Source organism: Homo sapiens, chromosome 6 (genome assembly GCF_000001405.40).
Source record: "Homo sapiens chromosome 6, GRCh38.p14 Primary Assembly".
In the NCBI taxonomy this organism is placed as follows: domain Eukaryota; kingdom Metazoa; phylum Chordata; class Mammalia; order Primates; family Hominidae; genus Homo; species Homo sapiens.
In genome coordinates, this window is record NC_000006.12 from 139,006,333 (window position 1) to 139,028,271 (window position 21,939).

General features: G+C 40.5%; 1 annotated feature.

Annotated features, from left to right (window-relative positions):
* Window positions 4,278–5,030: an enhancer, noted in NCBI's record as "NANOG hESC enhancer chr6:139331747-139332499 (GRCh37/hg19 assembly coordinates)". NCBI's record gives its function as "activates a minimal SCP1, AML or CMV promoter by ChIP-STARR-seq in naive H9 embryonic stem cells {active_cell/tissue: H9 hESC(naive)}" and the evidence as "EXISTENCE:reporter gene assay evidence [ECO:0000049][PMID:30033119]".

The window sequence follows — 21,939 nt, forward strand, 5'->3', positions numbered from 1 at the left end:
GCTAGGAATTTTAAGGCAGCCTGGGGCTTTGAACATATGTATAAATTCCTACCATGAAAACAGTTTGGTCAGTTTAATTCATTTCATAAATATTTATTGAGCATTTGTTATGTGTTTTGTTTGTTTGTCTGATTGTTTTTGCCTAATACCAATGCTTACAATACTGTGTGTTAATAACTACAAGATGCTGAGAACAGAAAGTCAAATAACATGATCCCTGCCATTGAGGAATTTATAATTCAGTGGAGAAGACAAATACATGCTATTTAACTTTTCTCCCCTCTGTGGCGCTTCCTATCTATGCAGCTCCCCACCCCTGCTTCTAGCTCTAAGTCCAAACTTGGTTTTGTTCCTGGTTTGAGGATGTCTGGTTCTCCTCTAAAGGCCTTTGATCCCCTTTCATGTCAACATTTTGCGGTAGCTTACAAACTTTCAGACTGCTCCCTGTGGAAACCTGTCTTCCCTTGCTTGTCTGCAGTAGAAAGATGGAATACGAATGTTCCACCTCACTGCCAGGGAGGATGTGGAGTTAAGCTCTCCCTTCCCTCAAGGAATGTGAGGTTTTCAGTTTTTAATTAGTAAACTAATTTCTAAATTCTCAAAATATATTGTGAAAGTGTCACAGGAAGAAAAGGCAATGTAAAGGAAGACAAGCAATGCCTCAGAGAGAAAAAAGAAGTAGGGGAGGAAGGCTTGTCCCATGAGAGGGGTTTCCCATGGGAGGGGCTTACCAGAGGAACCTTTGGGAATCAGGAGTTGATCCTGGAGAAGAGGCCTAAGAAGGCTTTGCATCATTGCTCAAGAGGAGCAAGGTGAGCAGATCTCAGAAAGGACCACCAAGGCGGGCATGGTCGCTTACCCTAGTAATCCCTGTATTTTGGCAGGCCAAAGTGGGTGATTGCTTGAGCCCAGGAGTGGGAGACCAGCCTGGGCAATATAGTGAGACATCACCTCTACAAAAATAAACAAAATCTGCCGAGTGTGGTGGTGCACGCCTGTAGTCCCACCTACTTGGGAGGCTGAAGTGGGAAGATTGCTTGAGCCTGGAGGTGGTCAAGGCTGCAGTAAGCTGAGATTGTGCCACTGCACTCCAGCCTGGGTGGTAGAGTGAGACCCTGTCTCAAAAAAAAAAAAAAAAAAAGAAAACAAACAAACAAAAAAACATAAAAAGGGGGCACTGTTTAAGGGCCCATGAATAAGAGGCTAAATCTCAGAGACACAGACTTACTAAAGAACCCCTTTGTCTACACACAGGGACCAAACCAGTCATCCTTCCTGTCCACACCAATGCACACTTGACTCCACCCATGGTCCGCTCAGCAGAGTGAAGTTCCTTCAGGCTTACTCCCCATGTGATTACCATGGTTGACTCCTCACCAAAATTGCCATGACCAGAATATCCACACAAGGGCTTTGCTTTTGGTGGGGAAGGGGAAGAGGTGGGAAGTTCCCCATTCTGGATTAAGAGCTGAACCACAGAAGTTTAAAACCAGCCTCGGCTGAGATAATAACTGACCTCCCTCTTACCTGCCTCCTTTATCCCAGACCCTTTAATCTGTGCTCACCCACACACAGCATTTGCCATCAACACCTCTTCAGTCCCTGCAACAAGTCATTAAATGATATTCTAGAAAATGTTTCAGAAACTCCATTCCTTTCTCTCCCTTTTTGTACCCCTCTACCACATTTCATTCTGCCTTGCTTATATTCTGCCTTTTCTTATATTAGCTGCCTTTTTTCTGAACTAAACCCCTAGATTTGGTGCTCTTTACACTTCTGGCCCTTTGGATCTTGGCCATCGTATTAGTCCGTTTTCATGCTGCTGATAAAGACATACGCGAAACTGGGAACAAAAAGAGGTTTAATTGAACTTACAGTTTCACATGGCTGGGGAGGCCTCAGAATCATGGTGGGAGGTGAAAGGCACGTCTTACTTGGCGGCAGCAAGAGAAAAATGAGGAAGAAGCAAAAGCAGAAATGCCTGATAAAACCTTCATATCTCGTGAGACTTATTCACTATTACGAGAATAGGATGGGAAAGACTGGCCCCCATGATTCAACTACCTCCCACTGGGTCCCTCCCACAACACGTGGGAATTCTGGGACATACAATTCAAGTTGAGATTTAGATGGGGACACTCCCATACCATATCAGCTGTCCTGCATAATTTTGACTTTTTCTGCTCCTATAGCTTCTGTGTTTCCCGTCCAGTGAAGCCCCAGCTTACCTTGTGCTCCTTGGCCAGTGTCCTAATCAGGCTAAGTTCTCCTCTCCTCTGCCCAAAGGGAAGGGAGAGATTCAGGCTCTATCCCTGAGCTTTAGGACAAAGTCAAGGTTATCTGTACCACTACCCTGTTTCCAGTTTAGCTTACCTGTAGGGTCCACCTGTCAAGTTCCTTTGAGTAATTATGCTCATTAGTTTCCTGAACCATACTAGCGTTCTAGCAATTTCTGAGGAACAGCTTCCTGTATTCTGCTGTACAGGTAGAAAACCAGGCTGTTGAGTAAGCTGCTCTGGCACACAATGAGAGCTCAAACTCGTGGGCTTAAGACACACTCTTAATTATCCCCTTGAGCACCTGATATTATTTGAAAGGACCTCTTTGCAAGTCCTGGAATGTCTCATCCAGTTGATGAGAAGAAGGCCAAGGGGGTTTCTATATAATCCATATTAACCCCTCTATAGCTAAATAGAAAATTGGGTTACCATGTCTGTGCAAGATCAGAAGTTCCTGCTGTGACAGCGTGGCAATTTACTTCAGCTTCCTGGATCCCTAAAGCATGCAAGTCAGTACAAGGAGCATGGCACCAACTTTCTTGTGTTGGACCTAGGCTACAACACAAAAATCCCACCTACCAATTCCATAACAGTCTGCCTGGCCTCACCCTAGACTAGGTGTCTTCCAAGGCCTGGGCAGGCAAGGTTCATCTTTTTAATTTTTATTTTTCAGACAGGGTCTTGCTCTGTCATCTAGGCTGGAGTATAGTGGCACAATCATGACTCACTGCAGCCTCAACCTCCCAGGCTCAAGCAATCCTCCTACCTCAGCTTCCCAAGTAGATGGGACTACAGTCACATGCCACTACACCTGGCTAATTTTAATTGTTTTTTTAGGGACAGGGGTCTCACTCACTATGTTGTCCAGGTTGATCTCAAACTCTTAATCTCAAGCAATCCACCCACCTTGGCCTCCCAAAGTGCTGGGGTTACAGGTGTGAGGTTAGGTTCATCATTTAATCACAAAGTACACAATAATAATGGCTACCATTCATTGAATAATTGCTTTGAAGGTCTAGGTATGCTTAAGCCTCACGAGTACTCTACACAGAAGGTGTTATTATTCCCATTTTATATATGAGGGATATGAGACGTTGAGCCCAAGGACACACATTAAGTGGTGGAGCTGGAATTTTATTAATGGCCTGTTGGGCACCAAAGTGTGTGCTTTAACATCTCACAAGTGTTGGATGAAGGCACCAGCTTCTCTGGACCTACTTTTTCTTGTTGGGGAAAACAAAAAACAAAAACCTTTTGATAATAAAAACCTAAAGAGAATAAAAAAGCTACAGTAAACTTCTAGCTTGAAACATTTAGCTTACTTACAGGAATAAGGGCCTCTACACATTTTATATATCTTAAAACAATATCTATAAATGGCAAAATAGCACAATAAGTTATTATACTTCACTTAAATATGATAAGTGAGTAAGTATGTAAGTATGATGAAAGTTAATTCCATAGTATAGACCCATTGGGAGCATATAATGAATTGAATGTTACCATACAGCAAATTTGAGGTGTTTTTCAATACATGTCATTTGGCAGTGGCTTATTGGAAAATTATGGGCCACAAATAAAACTGATGCAAATATACAATGATATACAGTCAATTAATAATGATGTGCTTAAAGTCACTTATAATTCATTATAAACATGGTTAAATAGACATTTGATCATTAAAAAGTAAAATCTTCCAAACCTCAGCCTCCCAAGTAGCTAGGACTTCAGGTGCACTCCAACACTCCAGGCTAATTTTTTTTCTTAATTTTTTTTTTGAGACAGAGTCTCATTCTGTCACCCAGGCTGGAGTGCAGTGGCCCAATCTTGGCTCACTGCAACCTCTGCCTCCCAGATTCAAGTGATTCTCCTGCCTCAGCCTCCCGAGTAGCTGGGACTACAGGCGCATGCCACCATGCCTGGCTAATTTTTTATACTTTTAGTAGAGAGGGGTTTCATCGCGTTAGCCAGGGTAGTCTCGATCTTCTGACCTCGTGATCTGCCTGCCTCGGTCTCCCAAAGTGCTGGGATTACAGGCATGAGACACTGTGCCCGGCCTTTTTCTTAATTTTTTGTAGAGATGAAATCTTGTTATGATGTGTAGGCTGGTCTCAAACTCCTGGGCTCAAGCAATCCTGCTGCCTTGGCCTCCTAGAGGGCTAGGATTGTAGGCATAAGCCACTGCAGCCAGCAACTGGTATTCTTAGTAGAAGATCTTTCTTATCTCAAATCTTTCCACACAAATGGCTGCCTCACCCCATGTGTATTCAAGGCATCTTTAGCCTTAATTGGTTTGCAAATCAGCTTGGATTTAGCTAGCTATCAGAGGTTCTCTGCCCTTGAGGGGGACAGAACAATAGTTTAACAACCTGACAAAAGCTTCTGAAGATCATTGTGAAGTATTGAGAAGAGAGAGTTTAATAAGGGACTTAGAGAATTTTAGGTCAAGCATTATCTAGTAGATACCAGAGAGTGAATGGTCTTAGATAGCAGACCAAAAACCCCTTACTAGGGAGAAAAAGTGACTTATTAAGTTCACAGCAGGTACTCAATAAATATTTGTTTAATAAATGTTTGTTTAATGGTTATAATTACCATTGACAACTATAACTGAACTGCCAAAATACTAGTATTAAATTTTTGCATTACTATTCATACCTACTCATCGTCCTTCTTTTCTCTCATAAGCTTTAAATCTTATTAATATCTTGGGAATTAGATTAACCACTAGGAAATCCAAGTTATTCTGTTTTTAATTCTATGAATATTAAAACCACTTTTTTGAAGACAATCTGATTTTGAATGTACAGCAATACTGTTTGTAGATCATAGATGACCCTAGATGGATAACATAATTTTTCTTACAGTTGAAGTTCTTACTGTATACTAATATTGATGTTTCAAAGACAATCTTCTGTCTGGGCGCAGTGGCTCACACCTGGAATCCCAGCACTTTGGGAGGCCAGGGTAGGCGAATCACTTGAGCCCGGGAGTTTGAGATCAGCCTGGCCAACATGGCGAAACCCTGTCTCTACCAAAAAACAAAAAACAAAACAAAAAAACAAAAATTAGCTGGGCGTGGTGGCATGCACCTGTAGTCCCAGCTACTCAGGAGGCTGAAGTGGGAGGATTACTTGAGCCCAGGAAGCAGAGGTTGCAGTGAGCTGAAATGGCACCACTGCACTCTAGCCTGGGCAACGGAGTGAGACCTTGTCTCAAAAAACAAACAAACAAACAAACAAAATCTTCTATACACTTGGTTAACATTAATCAGTCTTCTTGATATGTGTCATACGTGAAGGAGCACCCCAAAGCCACCTAAATACTTAGAAAAGAAACCCATCTAGAAACATCTAGATGTTTGAATTTTTAAATTGAAATCTAAATATTTGAGTGATAACCTGTCAAACTCAATTGGACTTCATAAGCCCAAGGAAGGCAATTAGCTATTTTAAGGAAGTTTGTGGCAATGAAAACCATGTTGTGAGCGTTTAAGAAATCAGTGAAGAGATTGGAATTCGTTCTAGAAAAAAAAATCTCTATCAAAGAATTCCAAGGGCTTATATTTAGAACACCCTAAACAGCTTTAATCAACACTGCTAAGACCAAGAAGAAAAGAATGCGGTCTATGTTCCTCCCTCACATGTTTTTGCTGTTTTATCCCTCAATTAAATATATAGAAAAGACTGCCAAAAGACTTAAGAAATTTACTGTTGTAGATCTTTTAAATTTATGTTCACAAAATATCAACCCATAATTCTGTTGTCTCTGTAATTTCTCTCAGGAAGAGTTAATAAATGTGTATTATGACCACTTACTAATAACTGATAGCTAAAAGGCAGCTGTTATGAATAATTTTACATGCAATTAATGATATTTAAAATTCACATCGTATTGGAAATTAGAATATCAATGAAACTTTTATTGTGGTGATTACTTGCCACTTTAGCCCATCAAAAATGTATGCAACTAGTTTTTACAAATTTTAGTGGCTTCTTTCAATTGAATATGATCCAGAGACAGCAAGGGTAGAGATACTAGACATTGATCTCACTAAAAAGACAGTGGAAATGGAATACAAATGCAGATAATTATATGTATTTAATACATAGTAAATTTTAAAACATTACTTCTTCCCTAGAAATTTGTTTAAATTTTGGTGAAAATTTAAAAAGATATTTAGTCTATAATGGCTAAGATAATTGATTCATACATCTAATCTTTCATTTCAAATAGCCCTGAGGAGGGTCAAGAGGTTAGATAGTCCACCCTCAAGTCCATTCAACTAAACAGTTATTGAGCGCCCACTCCCTGTCAGGCATGGGGCCAAGCACTGCAAAGACACAAAATGAATAAGACATTGTCCACCCTCAATAACTGTAGTCTAAGTTAAAGGGGAAACGACTATGGTACAAGTTCCAATACAAGCTTAAATAAATATGTTATTTAAAACATCACATTTAGCACCTTTGTCTTCTAAGAGGGTTGCCATAATTCACATCACTGAGAAAACAAGTTGCTATAAAGCTTACTTTCACTGATAGAGATTTAGTGCTGGAGATGGGCAAGAAAAAAGAAGAAAGAAAAATGAAATAAAGGGGAAAAAGATAAATTGTGAAGCCTCTGCTAGGTCTTCCAAGATGCCCAAGGGTCAGAGGCAAAGGTGCTTTGTTTTTGTTTGTTTTTGTGTTCCCAGCAGAGCACATTAATGAGGGTTTGGATTTTGGACTAGAAAACTAAACTGCTCTGTGTAACAAAGGAGAGAACTGGAAGTTCTGGTGCCTGAGGAGTAGGAACTTGGAAACAGACAGGGATTGGTGAGGACAGGGCTTGGCAGCAGGTAGGAGGCTGGAGCTGGGAGGAGCAGGGGCCCTGAGCAAGTCCACAGGTGGGGTGGGGGGCACCTGAAGGGATTTTGAAATAGGTAGGACATCTCTTCTTTTCTTTCTTTTCTTTTTTCTTTCCTTCCTTTCCTTTCTTTCCCTTCCTTCCTTTCCTTCCCTTCCCTCCCCTTCCCCTTCCCCTTCTCCTTCCTTCTTTCCTTCCTTCCTTCCTTCCTTCCTTCCTTCCTTCCTTCTTGACAGGGTCTCACTCTGTGGCCCAGGCTGGAGTGCAGTGGTGCGATCTCAGCTCACTACAACCTCCGCCTCCCGAGTTCAAGCGATTCTCCTGCCTCAGCAACTGGGATTACAGGCACACGCCACCATGCCTGGCTAATTTTTGTATTTTTAGTAGAGACGGGGTTTCACCACGTTGGCCGGGCTGGTCTCGAACTCCTGACCTCAGGTGACCTGCCCGCCTCGGCCTCCCAAAGTGCTAGGATTACAGGGTTGAGCCACCATGCCCAGCCCCAAATGCTAGTTTTTTTCTTGGGTGGGTGGGGGGAGGTTGATATGGGGAATAAATTAAGAAATGGAGCTCTTCCATGCCTGTTTTTTGGGGGAAATGGTTGAACATCCATGAAATGTGAGAAGTAACTGGAATTAGAGAACTCGGAACCAGCAGAAAGCATGAGAACATACATCCCAAGAATTTCCAAAAATATAAGGAAGAGCATTGAACTTCCTAGAGGATATGGAATCATGAACTTGAGTACAGTCAAGGTGAGGGTGATATTTGCATTACATAAAAGTGGTATGAGATGGGAGGCTGAGGCAGAAGAATAACTTGAGCCCGGGAGGTGGAGGTTGCAGTGATCCAAGATTGTGCGACTGCACTCCAGCTTGGGTAACAGAGGGAGACTCCATCTCAAAAAAAAAAAAAAAAAAAAAAAGTGACACGAGATAACTGTTCCAGAAGAAGTTCAAAGTGCTGTAAGACTCCCAAGAGGGGGATATGACACCAAGCGGAGTGGACAGGAGGAAGAGGAGCAGGGCTGGGTATGCTTTCTATATTAGTTCATTTCTCCTCAAATCCTTTTGCAATGAGGAAGGATACTTTAAATAAGAAACACAATTTTGGCCAGGCATGGTGGCTCACGCCTGTAATCCCAGCACTTTGGGAGGCCGAGGCAGGAGGATCACGAGGTCAGGAGTTCAAGACCAGCCTGGCCAAAACAGTGAAACCCCGTCTCTACTAAAAATACAAAAATTAGCTGGGCATGGTGGCATGTGCCTGTAGTCTTAGCTACTTGGGAGGCTGAGGCAGGAGAATCGCTTGAACCCAGGAGGTGGAGGTTGCAGTGAGCCAAGATCTCGCCACTGCACTCCAGCTTGGGCAACAGAGTGAGACTTTGTGTCAAACAAACAAACAAACAAACAAACAAAAACCACACACACACACACACACACAATTTTATTTCTCCATTACAACAACTCTGCAAGCAGATTTCATTATCACTAAGTTTTAGAATAGAAAACTGAGGCTCATAGGGGTTTGTAATTTTTCCAAGAACACATGCAAACAGAACTACAGCCAGCCCGCGTGACTGGGTCACCTCTGCTTTGTACATGCACATGGAGCTTCAGTGCCAGAGCTGGCACTGAAGTTTGGCCTTGGATTTCAGTAGGCAAAGGTAAGGTGGGAGGGGAGGACTCAGCAGGCAGAGGGAACAATCAGAGCAAAGGCAGGAAGGCAAGAACATACTAAATAAACATTTACAGAACAAAACTGGTCTCCACCCCATGCCCTCACTATAGTCTGGACCAGATGCAGGAATAGGATATAGTGCAGTTTGATAGATCCGTGGTGTATCACAGATGGCAATGGAGGGTCAGGACTCTGGAAGGTAATAGTGGTCAAGTTGTGGAAGGTTTTAAAAGATGGGAAAAGCTTATATTTGATTTAATAGACCATGTGGAAATTTTGAAGCTGTACTTTCAGAAAATTAACCTGACATTAGACTGAAGGGTAGCCCAGAACAGAGCATCTTAAACTTCATGTAATGCAGACTTCTGTATTTCTAAGTCTAACATTCTGCATTTCTAAGAAGCTCTCTAGAGATTCTGACACAAGGAAGCTGGAGTGGGCTCTTCCCGATCTCCAGCAGCCCAGATTCCAAGCCAGCAGTATGCCTGAACCACTTAGTCTCCATGTTGAGGGATGACCGTGACTGAGGGGACTGGTGACAATGTCCAGTGCTATGGAGAGCTGCAGAATATTAAGAAATGGGAACAAGCTGTTGTGTTTGCCAGTTGGGAGTCATTAGTGACCTTAGGCTAGAGAGAACAGCTTTAGTAAGAAGGTGAAGGTAGGCCAGGTGCGGTGACTCACACCTGTAATCCCAACAGTTTGGGAGGCTGAGGTGGGTGGATCACCTGAGGTCAGGAGTTTGAAACCAGTCTGGCCAACATGGGAAACCCTGTCTCTACTAAAAATAAAAAAATAAAAAATTAGCTGGTCGTGGTGGCAGGCTCCTGTCCCAGCTACTCGGGAAGCTGAGGCCGGATAATCACTTGAAATGGAGAGGGAGGTTGCAGTGAACCAAGATCACGCCATTGCACTCCAGCCTGGGTAACAAGAGCAAGACTCCATCTTAAAAAAAAAAAAAAAAAAGAAGGAAGAATAAAGGTGAAGGTAGAAGCCAGATTACAAGTAGTGAAATAAATGGTAGGTGGTGAAGGAAAGAAGCAGCAAACTTCAAGTACTTTCTGAAAATCTCAAGACAAAGAGAAAACGGAATCTTGAGCCCTCAGCAGGATTGAGGGAGGGATTCATGAATAAACTGAAGGAAATATTTGCTTTGTAGAAAAAGAAAAATTTCCCAACAGAGAGATAAGAGAAAGGAAATCTTCCATTGCTACTCACAAAGACATTTCTATTTTTGAAGGGACTTTTTCCAGCCTGCAGTAAGATTTCACTGGGCCTGGACATTGTTTTTAAAACATTTTAATGAGTTGCCGCATCTGTTTCTAAAGGGAAAGTTTTGGTTTTTCAAAAAATCCAGATTTCTATCTTTTCTTGAAAAATGGTACAGTCTAGTAACACTGGGTATACACTCCCACATGCAGCTGAATAGGAGCTCCCCCTTCAAAAGAGGAAGTCAGCCAGGCTTATTTCAATCACTGTTATTTGCCTGTCTCTACAGAAACTGCATGCTTATTTGACGTGTTTGTGTGTGTGTATATACATATACAGACAGCAATCTGTATGTGTAAATACTGGAATTCCAGGTGAAAATTCATGGTGTAGAGATATTTTATGGTGAAAGAGACACTCCTGAGCACCCCTTAAATTTTGCAATGTGGCTGGGCCTCTGCGTTGCCGAGGTATAAGTCTGTCCTCTGTTCATCCTGAGAGAGTGCCCCTCCTAGGGATACCATGAATGATGGAGCCCAGGAAGAGAGCAGCAGAGATACTTTACATTCTGTGGGATACATTAGAAAGACATCAGTGAGCCCTTCTAGCTGAAAAGCAGCAGAAGTTTTTCTGAATTCCTTGGAGCAGCTGCTGCTGTGAGCTTTCACTGGCTGCTGGCTATACAAGCTTGTCTAGACCAAGTAGTTCTCGATCTTAACTGCGCATTAGAATTACTTGGGAACCTTAAAACGTGGGTGTCCCAGAGATTCTGAATTAATTGGTTTGAGTGAGTCCTAGGTACTGCTTTTTAAGCTTGGCAGGTGATCCTAATATGTAGTCAGATTAATTGCCACTGCAATGCTTTGTGGCATTAACCCCTTCCACTCTAGGCTTTGTAGACTCCCGAGACAGCACCTTAGACATTTGGTTAGAAATTGTGCTTCTTGGTGCCCTCCTTGACCCCTGACTCCACTGTGATCACCACAGCTGCCTGCCTGGCTGCTCTTTGCACCTAGCACTTAAGCCCTCATGACTGAATTTAATGATCTGGAAATTTTATTCTCAGTTGGCAGCACTGACCATTTGGCCTAGGCTCAAAAAAGGATAATGTAGCCTCTCTCTTACTGGAGCTACAACAAAGACTCAGAAAAAACGAAGTAGAAGGACTGTATACTGAATGAAAGAAGTTTACAAAAAAGAAGTGAAACATGGGTGGGGTGACTAGTTGTCCCAAACTGACTAGGGCTGTCCTAGATTTTGCCTTTTCGATGGATTATTTTGGGGTAATCGTTTAGATTTCTTATCAGAAGATTAGGAGGCTTAGAAAAAAAGGTTATTTGTAAATGTGTTAGCTGGTGGGTTGAAAGTGGGGGATGAATTGGAAAATAAATAGTGGTTATCATCTTAGAACTCTTAGCAATGTTCCTGTGGGGTTTTTTTGTTGTTGTTGTTGTTTTTACCATCTGTAACAACTCTGTCCAGTAGAACTTTCTCAGACAGTAGAAAATTTCTGTGCTATCCAATACAGTTGTCATTAATCCCCTGTGGCAATTGAGCAGTTGAAATGTGGCTACTATGACTGAGGATCTGAATTTTTAATATTATTTCATTTTAACTAATTTAAGTGTAAATGAAAATTAGAGCCAGGTGCCATGTATCTCATCTGTAGTCCCAGCTTCTCAGGAGGCTAAGTCGGGACGCTCGCTTGAGGCTAGAGTTTGAGACCAACCTTGGCAACATAACAAGACCCTGTCTCTAAAAAATGTTTTAAAAAAGGAATAAAAAAGAAAATATCCATGTGGGTCTAGTAGCTACTTACTGAACAATAAGAGTTGCTGTTTTCTGTGTTAGACATATGTAGGGGTGACTCCTCTCCCACAGGTCCTTCACAGAGAAACGATCTCATGCATCTCTTTTGGAAGGAGCAGCCCTAGTAGCGGGCATAGCAGATTTGACAGGGCGTGGGGGGAGCGTGACTAACAATCCATCCAAACTAGGTCAGTTAGGTTCTCTCTTTAAAGAATCTGGAGGCCAAGCATAGTGGCTCATGCTGTAATCTCAGCATTTTGGGAGGCCATGGTGAGAGCATTGCTTGAGCCCAGGAGTTCAAGACCAGCCTGGACAGCGTAGTAAGTCCTCATTTCTATAAAAAATAAAAAATTAGCCGGGCATGGTGGTGCGCCTGTAGTCTTAGCTACTCGGGAGGCTGAGGTAGGAGGACTGGTTGAGCCCAGGTGTTCAAGTCTGCAGTGAACTATGATTGTGCCATTGCACTCCAACCTGGGTGACAGAGTGAGACCCTGTCTCCAAAAAAAAAAAAAAAGTCTGGAATTAAGATACTAAAAGACTGTATTCATTTGGTAATGGTGAGTTGAACCATTACCAGTAGGGTTGTCAGTACAGGCTGTGCCATAGGAGACCAAGGCCATTTGCAACATCAGTTATGGGGGAGCTGGTAGGGATTAGAAATCATGTAGTAAAAGGAGGACAGGAGGGAGGGAGGGAGGGAGGGAGAGAGAGTTGTCTCATGGGAGACAATAATGCTTTGGTCCTAACGTTTCCATTCTAAGGCCAAGGTCACTTGAATGTTTTTGTTTCTTATTCTTGGATGTCCATGAGAATTTCTGTTGTAACCTTTCAATAACTCAATTACTGGAGCTAGTTTAATATGTTTCCACATCTTACAATTAAAGAGCTTTGTTGAAGACATTGTTTCCAATTTGGGAGTTAGAGAAGAGAAAAAAACAATAAAGCAAGATATGGAGGAAGGATAAAAGAAAAACCGGAAAATTCCATGAAAATTCTAGAAATAATGGTGATATATAGTATAATAAGCCAGTTTAGAAGAGTCCTCATCTTCATTTGACAAAGAATGATCCTCCTTCATATGAGGAGTTTGTTGTCTTTGACCAAGTTTTGGGAGGGAGACACATGAGACTTGCCACATGATGGTTTCCAATAAATATTTGATGAATGAGTAAATAAATGAATGAATGAATAAAGCAGCAGTGGGGACATGCAACAACTTCCTAGAACAGTCTAATCAATCCTTTTTTTCAAGATTTTTTTCAGGCTGGGCGTGGTGGCTCACGCCTGTAATCCCAGCACTTTGGGAGGCCAAGGGGTGTGGATCACGAGGTCAGGAGATTGAGACCATCCTGGCTAACACGGTGAAAACCCTACTCTACTAAAAATACAAAAAATCAGCCAGGCGTGGTGGCAGGTGCCTCTAGTCCCAGCTACTTGGGAGGCTGAGGCAGAAGAATGGTGTGAACCTGGGAGGCAGAGTTTGCAGTGAGCTGAGATCATGCCACTGCACTCCAGCCTGGGTGACAGAGCGAGACTCCATCTCAAAAAAAAAAAAAAAAAAAATTCAGCTAAATTATCTTTATTTGCTCTCTGATTTAGCTTTTAATTATTAATCATCTATTAGTCTTGTCTTCCCATTGTTTCTTTTTAAAAAAAAACATGAAATTGAGATATAATTCACATATCATAAAATTCACCATTTTAAACTGTGCAATTCAGCGGTTTTTAGTGTATTCACGAGATTGTGCAATCTTCACCACTATCTAATTCCAGAACATTTTAAATCACCTCCCCCCAACACACACACCAACTCTGCACCAAATAACTGCTTACCTCCTGTTAGCCTCTGAAAACCACAAATCCACCTGCTTTTCCTGTGGATTTGCTTGATCTGAATTTATCTGCTATCATATAAATAAAGGTACACAATATGTGGCCTTTTTGTTCTGGCTTTTTTCATTTAGAATGATGTTTTCAGGATTTATTTGTGTTATAACATGTATCAGCATTTATTCCTTTTTATGGCTGAGTAATAAACTATTGTGTAGATGTACCACATTTTATTTCTTCACAAGCTAGGTTGTTTCTACCTTTTGACCATTATGAATAATGCTGTTATGAACATTTATGTACAAGTTTTTGTGTGTGCATATGCTTTCATTCTATTTATTTATTTATTTAGAGACAGGGTCTCACTCTGTTGCCTTGGCTGGAGCACAGCAGTGTGATCACGGCTCAATGTAGTCTCAGCCTCTCCAGGCTCAGGTGATCCTCCCACCTCAGCCTCCCGAGAAGCTGAGACTAGAGACACGTGCCACCATGCCTGGCTAATTTTTGTATTTTTTGTAGAGACAGGGTTTCACCATGTTGCCCAGGCTTGTCTTGAGTGCCTAGGCTCAAGTGATCCACCGGCCTTGGCCTCCCAAAGTGCTGGGATTACAGGCATCAGCCACTGTGCACAGCCCATATGCCTTTAGTACTCTTGGGTATATAACCAAAAATGGAAATGCTGGATCAAAGAATGAAAAATCTAGGCTGGGCACAGTGGCTCATGTGTGTAATCTCAGGGCTTTGGGAGGCCAAGATGAGAGGGCTGCTTGAGGCCAGGAGTTCAAGACCAGCCTGGACAAGAAAATGAGACCCTGTTTCTACAAAAAAATGTAAACAATTAGCTGGGTGTGGTGGAGTGTGCCTGTAGTCCTGGTTACTTAAGGGTTGAGGCGTGGCGCTAAGGCAGGAGGATCGCTTGAGTCCAAGGGTTGGAGTCTGTAGTGAGCTATGATCATACCACTGCACTCCAGCCTGGGCCACAGAGTGAGATCCTGTCTCTAATATATATATATATTTATTATGTATCCTATATATAATATATGTATGTAACACTTAAAAAAGAATGTAAAATATATATTTAACTTGTTGAGGAACTGCCAAACTGTTTTCCACAGAAGCTGTACCATTTTAATTCTCGCCAGTAATGTATGAGGGCTTAAGTTTTTCCACATCCTCATCAAGACTCATTATTGTTCATTTTTTTGATTATACCCATCCTAGTGGGTGTGAAGTAGTATCTTATTGTGGTTTTGATTTGCCTTTCTCTGATCACTAATGAGGTAAAGCATCTTTTCATGTGCTTATTGGCCATTTGTGTATCTCCTTTGGAAAAATGTCTATTTAAATTCTTCGCCCATTTTAAAATTGGATTTTTAAAAATTGTTGAGTTTTAAGAGTTCTTCACACATTCTGGATATGTGATCTTTATCAGTTGTATGATTTGTAAATATTTTGTTTCATTCTGTAAGTTGTCTTTTCACTTTATTGTCCTTTGAGGCACAGATGTTTTAATTTTGATGAAATCTAATTTATCTGTTTTTTCTTTGGTTGCTTGTGCTTTTGGTGTCATAGCTGAGAAAATATTGCCTAAACTACAGTCATGAAGCTTACACCTGTGTCTCCTAACAGTTTTATCATTTTTGCTCCTACATTTAGGTTTTAATCTATTTTGAGTTTTAATATAATGGTATGAGATAGGGGTCAAATGCATTCTTTTCCATGTGAATATCCAGTGACCCAGCACCATTTGTTGAAAATACCATCTTGGCCAGGCACGGTGGCTCAGGCCTGTAATCCCAGCACTTTGGGAGGTCGAGGCGGGTGGATCACAAGGTCAGGAATTCGAGACCAGCCTGGCCAATATGGTGAAACCCTGTCTCCGCTAAAAATACAAAAAAATTAGCCGGGCATGGTGGCACATGCCTGTAATCCCAGCTACTCCGGAGGCTGAGGCAGGAGAATTGCTTGAATCCGGGAGGCGGAGGTTGTAGTGAGCCGAGATCGCGTTACTGCACTCCAGCCTGGGTGACAGAGCGAGACTCCGTCTCCCTAAAAAAAAAAAAGAAAAGAAAAGAAAAATAAAAAGAAAATACCATCTTTCCCCATTAAATGGTCTTGGCACTCTTGTGAAAAATCAGTTCACCATCAATGAATGGGTTTATTACTGGACTCTCAATTCTATCCCATGATCTATATGTTTATCCTTATGCCAGTACCACTGATTGTAGCTTTGTAGCAAATTGAAATCAGGGAGTGTGAGTCCTTTAACTTAGTTTTTTTTTTCAAGATTGTTTTGACTTTTTGGGTCGCTTTCATCTCTATATAAATTTTAGGATCAGCTTGTCAATTTCTGTGAAAAGTAAGTTAGAATTTTGATAGGGATAACATCAAACCTGTAGATCATTTGAGGGAGTGTTGTCATCACCACAATATTAAGTGTTTCAATCTATGAACATGGGATGTCATTCTATTTGATTAGATTTTCTAAATAAAGTTTTCTTTCAACAATATTTTGTAGTCTTCAGTGTACAAATTTTGCATTCCTTTAATTAAACTTACTACTAAGCATTTTATTCTCTTTTTCTGAGTATTAAAATTTGTATTAAGGTATAATTGACAAAAAATATATTTAGGTGAACAATGTGATGTTTTGAATATGTTTACATTGTAAAATGATTATATCAAGCTCATTAACATATCATCACCTTACATACTTATCATTTCTTTGTTGTAAGAAACTTTAAGATCTAATCTTTTAGGCCAGGTGCGGTGGTTCACGCCTATAATCCCAGCACTTTGGGAGGCTGAGGTGGGCGGATCACTTGAGGTCAGGAGTTCAAGACCAGCCTGACCAACATGGAGAAACCCCGTCTCTACTAAAAATACAAAAATCAGTCGGGCATGGTGGCGCATGCCTGTAATCCCAGCTACTCAGGAGGCTGAGGCAGGAGAATCACTTGAACCCAGGAGGTGGAAGTTGCAGTGAGCCAAGATTGCGCCATTGCACTCCAGCCTGGGCAACAAGAGCGTAACTCCGTCTCAAAAAAAAAAAGAGTTCTAATCTTTCACCCGCTTCGGCCTTCCAAAGCGCTAGGATTACAGGCGTGAGCCACTGTGCCTGGCCTGATATTTCTTCAAGATACTGATTTCCTTTGGATATATACCCAGAAGTGACATTGCTGGATCACATGATAGCTCTATTTTTAATTTTTTGAGGAACCTCCATACTCTTGTCCATAATGCCTGTACCAATTTACATTCCTATCAACCGTGTATGAGGGTTCCCTTTTCTCCACATCCTCGGAACACGTTGTTATCTTTTGCCTTTCTGAAAATTACCATTCTAACAGGTGTGAGGTGATGTCTCATTGTGATTTTAATTTGCTTTTCCTTGATGATGAGTGATGTTGAGCATTTTTTTCATAGGCCTGTTGGTCATTTGTATGGCTTCTTTTGAGGAATGTCTACTCAGGTTCTTTGCCTTTTTTTTTTTTTTTTGAGACAGGATCTCCCTTTTTCACCCAGGCTGGAGTGTGCTGGCATGATCTTGGCTCACTGCAACCTCTGCCTCCCGAGCTCAATCAATTCTCCCATCTCAGCCTCCTGAGTAACTGGGACTACAGGCATGCACCACCCACCCAGCTAATTTTTGCCTTTTTTTGTGGAGAAGAGGTTTCACAGTGTTGCCCAGGCTGCTCCTGAATTCCTGGGCTCAAGCTATCAGCCCTCCTCGGCCTCCCAAAGTGCTGGGATTACAGACATGCGATTAAAGGTGTGCCCAGTGCCTTTGCCCATTTTAAAATCAGGTTGTTTTCTCGCTATTGAGTTGTTTGAATTCCTTACATATTTTGGGTCTTAACCCCTGATCAGATGTATGGTCTGCAAATATTTTCTCCCATTCTACAGGTTGTCTCTTCACTCTGTAGGTTGTTTCCTTTGCTGTGCAGAAGCTTTTTAGTTTGATATCATTTCTTTTGTCTATTTTTGCTTTTGTTGCCTGTGCAAAAATTCCTTTTGATGTTATTGGAGTAGAATTTTAAAAAAATTTTCATTTCAGATTTTTCATTGCTAGTATATAGAAATACATCTGATTTTTATATATTGATATTATATCCTGCAATCTTTTTGAATTAGTTTATTTGTTCTATTAGCTTATTAGTGGATTCTTTTGCAGACACCCATGTCTTGTTCTTCATCTTAGGGGAAAAGCTTTCAGTCTTTTACCATTAAGTATGATGTTACTGTGTTTTTTTTGTAGCAGCCCTTCATTAGGTTGAGGAAATTCCCTTCCATTTCTAGTTCCCTTGTATTCCCAGTTAATCATGAAAGGATAATGAATTTTGTCAAATGCTCTTTCTGCATCTAATAAAATGATTATGTGGATTTTTCTCTTTATTTAATTTATATATATTAATATAATTAATTATTTAACATTAATTTTTATAAGTTGAAGCAACTGTGCATTCCTGGGAGAAATCCCACTTGCTTATGGCGTATAATTCTTTTTACATTATTTCTTAAGGGCACAGAGTTTACTTTTACTTCTGCGTATCATCTAAGGCACTCAAGCCATACTACAATTGGATCAAGAACTAGTGCCCAAGACATGTAACCATCATTATTACTGCTATCCTCATAAATGAGAGCACAAGGTGATGACATTCTGAACTAGAATGACAAGCCCAAATGAGAAACCTCATTTTAAGGAATGAGATAAAAGTTGGAGATAAGGCCATATGGGATTATTACATTTCTCAATGTTGTTGAATAATCCCTACATTCTTGGAATATGCCTTGCTTGATCATGATACTCTATTCTTCATTTTTATTTTCTATATTTCTTAAGCATAGCCTGACAACTACACTTTATTTAAAAAAATGTTTTATTTTTTAAAACAGGAAAAAATACACATATATATATACACACACATACATATATATACATACATATATATGTATACATATTTATCTAAAGTATTTGGCTTAATGAATTCTTAAAAATAAAACACTAATGTAACCAGTACACAGGTCAAGAAGCAGAGCATTATCAGCCCCTCATAAGGCCACTATCGTGCCCCCTCTCAGTCACTACCCTTCACTATCCAACAGGAATAACCACTATCCTAACTCCCAACACTGCTGATTAGTTTAACCTGCTTTTAAAACTTTGTGTAAAGGAATAATAGTCACCCTCATTTCACTCAATACTGTATTTGTGAGATTCATCATGTTGCATGCAGCTGTTGGTTGTTTTTCTCCTTGGTGGATAATAGGCCATTATATGAATGTACCACATTTATCAATTTATTCTGATGTTATTGGGGGATTGAGTCACTGTATTTTAGAAATATTATGTATTTTAGAAATACAGCCGGACATGGTGGCTCATGCCTGTAATCCCAGCACTTTGGGAGGCTGAGGTGGGTGGATCACCTGAGGTCAGGAGTTCCAGACCAGCTTGACCAACATGGCAAAACCCATCTCTATTAAAAATACAAGATTAGCTGGCATGATGGTGCATGTCTGTAATCCCAGCTGCTCAGGAGGCTGAGGCAGGAGAATCACTTGAACCTGGGAGGCCGAGGTTGCAGTGAGTGAAGATTGCGCCACTGCACTTCAGCCTGGGTGACAAGAGCGAAACTTCATCTCAAAAAAAAAAAAAAAAAAAAAAGGAAGAAGAAGAAAGAAATATGCACAGTCAGTGCTCCTGTGAATATTTTGTACATGTCTCTTGGTGAATGTATCTCCCTTTTCTGTTGGGTATATACCCAGGATGGAATTGCCATCCTAGAGATCCTCTAAGATAGAGGAAAAAATAGAAAAGTTTTTTCTATTCATTACAGTGCAGACAACTGCATTTTTAAAATAATGACTTCGATTTTCCATGAGTGTTTAAATATCATAGTGTTATTTTTCTCCTTCCAGGAACATGTAATAAGTTTTTAAGTAAAGTATTAGCATATAATATAACGCTTTATTCTGGAATTGTCTATAGCTACACTGTCTAATACAGCAGCCACTAGCCATAGAAGGCTATTGAGCACCTGAAATGTTGGGTAAATGTAAAATACAAAATAGACTTACAAGATTTAGTATGAAATAAAGAATGTACAATGTCTTATTAATAATTTCAAAATATCCATTACAGGTTGAAATGATAGTAGTTTGGATATACTGGGTGAAATAAAACATATTATTAAAATAAATCTCACCTTTTTAAAAAAAATGTGGCTACTAGAAATTTTAAATTGGACGTGTTGTTCACAATTTTATTTCCTTCGGACAGTGCTGGTCCGAATTAAATACATGCAATTAAATTACAATGCATGCAATTAAATACATGGATAAGGATTGTTTTAATATTTCAAATGTACATTACTTGCAGTTCTGTTTGACAAAGGACAGGTCATGGGCTACTTTGGACGATTTAGTATTGGCACTTTGTGGCTGGCACATTTATTTAAAATATATTAAATACTCTTTAATTTGATAAATTGTATTATTTTCTTTTTAGGTTAAACTTCCACATTGCTTACATTGTACATGATGATATTCCTGAGGGAATAAGAATAGATAACAAAAGTCTATTTGGAAATTGAAGGACTAGGATTGGATATGAAAAATATTAGTTAAGATTTTTTAATATTTCTTTTATCAAAACAGCTTTCTTTTTTCTTTTCTTTTCTTTTCTTTCCTTTTTTTTTTTTTTTTTTTTTTTTGAGATGCAGCCTCACTCTGTTGCCCAGGCTGGAGTGCAGTGGCACGCTCTTGGGTCACTGCAACCTTCGCCTCCTGGGTTCTAGTGATTCTTCTGCCTCAGCCTCCAGAGTAGCTGGGATTACAAGCATGTGCCACCACGCCTGGCTAATTTTTGTATTTTTAGTAGAGACGGGGTTTTGCCATGTTGGGCAGGCTGGTCTCGAACTCCTGACCTCAGGTGATCCGTCCACCTTGGCCTCCCAAAGTGTTAGGATTACAGGCATGAGCCACTGCGCCCAGCCGACAAAACAATTTTCTTAAATTGTAATTCCTTATAGATTAACATAAAGCTTGTGTTATACTTAGTTTAGCACATGTGTAAACAAAGTATCTTTTGGGTGAGTTTATTTTTATATTAACAAGGATGTTTACTTCTTTAGGTAAAGTAACCTATTTCTTTTTCTTTGGTTGGCAATTAGGGCAATACTAATTACCTAATCATAACAGAAGCGGTGCTCTCCAGACTCATTATTCCTATCATTGGATATTATCTGACTGATGAATTGTGATCCCTGTCACAGGCCAAAATAGCGAGGTCCTGCTTCGATAATTGCTAAATATATTTTTCTTGAATTATATATTTTTTGCCTTATGTCGACTGTGAAAGATATAAACTATAACTTCTCACCTTTCTTTTGGTGAGAAAAAAATAGGCCTCAATCATTTTGGTAACAATATAAAACAAGTAAAAGAAAAAAATAGGTCTGAAAAGATCTTGGAGTCACCTTAAACTTTATCTGCCATGAGACACTTAGAAGAATCAGACCTTTGTTGAAGATTACAGAACAGAGACTCCTTCAGTCACACCCAGGAGACAGGTATTCACCGTAAAGACTAGAATGAAGCGTGGGAAGTGGATGGATCCAGTGCAGCCCCAGGGAACTGAACACTCACATGCCCCTGGGAAGCAGGTCTTTGTTGCTCTCCTTCCATCACTTGGTCTCAGCTTGTCTTTGACTGGCTTCTACCACTTGTGCCTCCACCCAACCTGCTGCTACATTCTCCTGGTTTCTGCTTACTCAAATGTTTTGCATCCGAAGCCCATTTTGGCCCCTTCTGCCTTACCCTCTCTTAGCTCCAACCTTTCTCTTACATCAGACAGCTCCGTCTCTGCATTCTCCACTTTCCATTTCCAAGGGAGTGTCTGATTGGCTTACTAACTATCAGAGTCCGTGTTTGATGAGAACTGTTTGCTCCAGGTCACCTCACAGGATGATGACTACATCACGGATTGTGCGCTCTTGGGTCACGCGATCACTCTTAATTTAAATTAGCTGGGCTGGGGGTGGGGAGGGGGTAAGGAACGTTTTTTGTAGTTATTTGTGCAACCCCTGCTCTAGAAATAGTTTGGGTAACTGTTTCCTTTCCAAAAGGACTCTCTGGGTACGGTAAGCATCTCTCTCTCACACACGCATATATTAAAATAACAGTGACTAAAACAAAGGGAGCATGAATAAATTGAATTATGAAGTTAAATGTATGAAATAATGAATGAACAAGGGAAGAAACCGATACTGACCCAGGG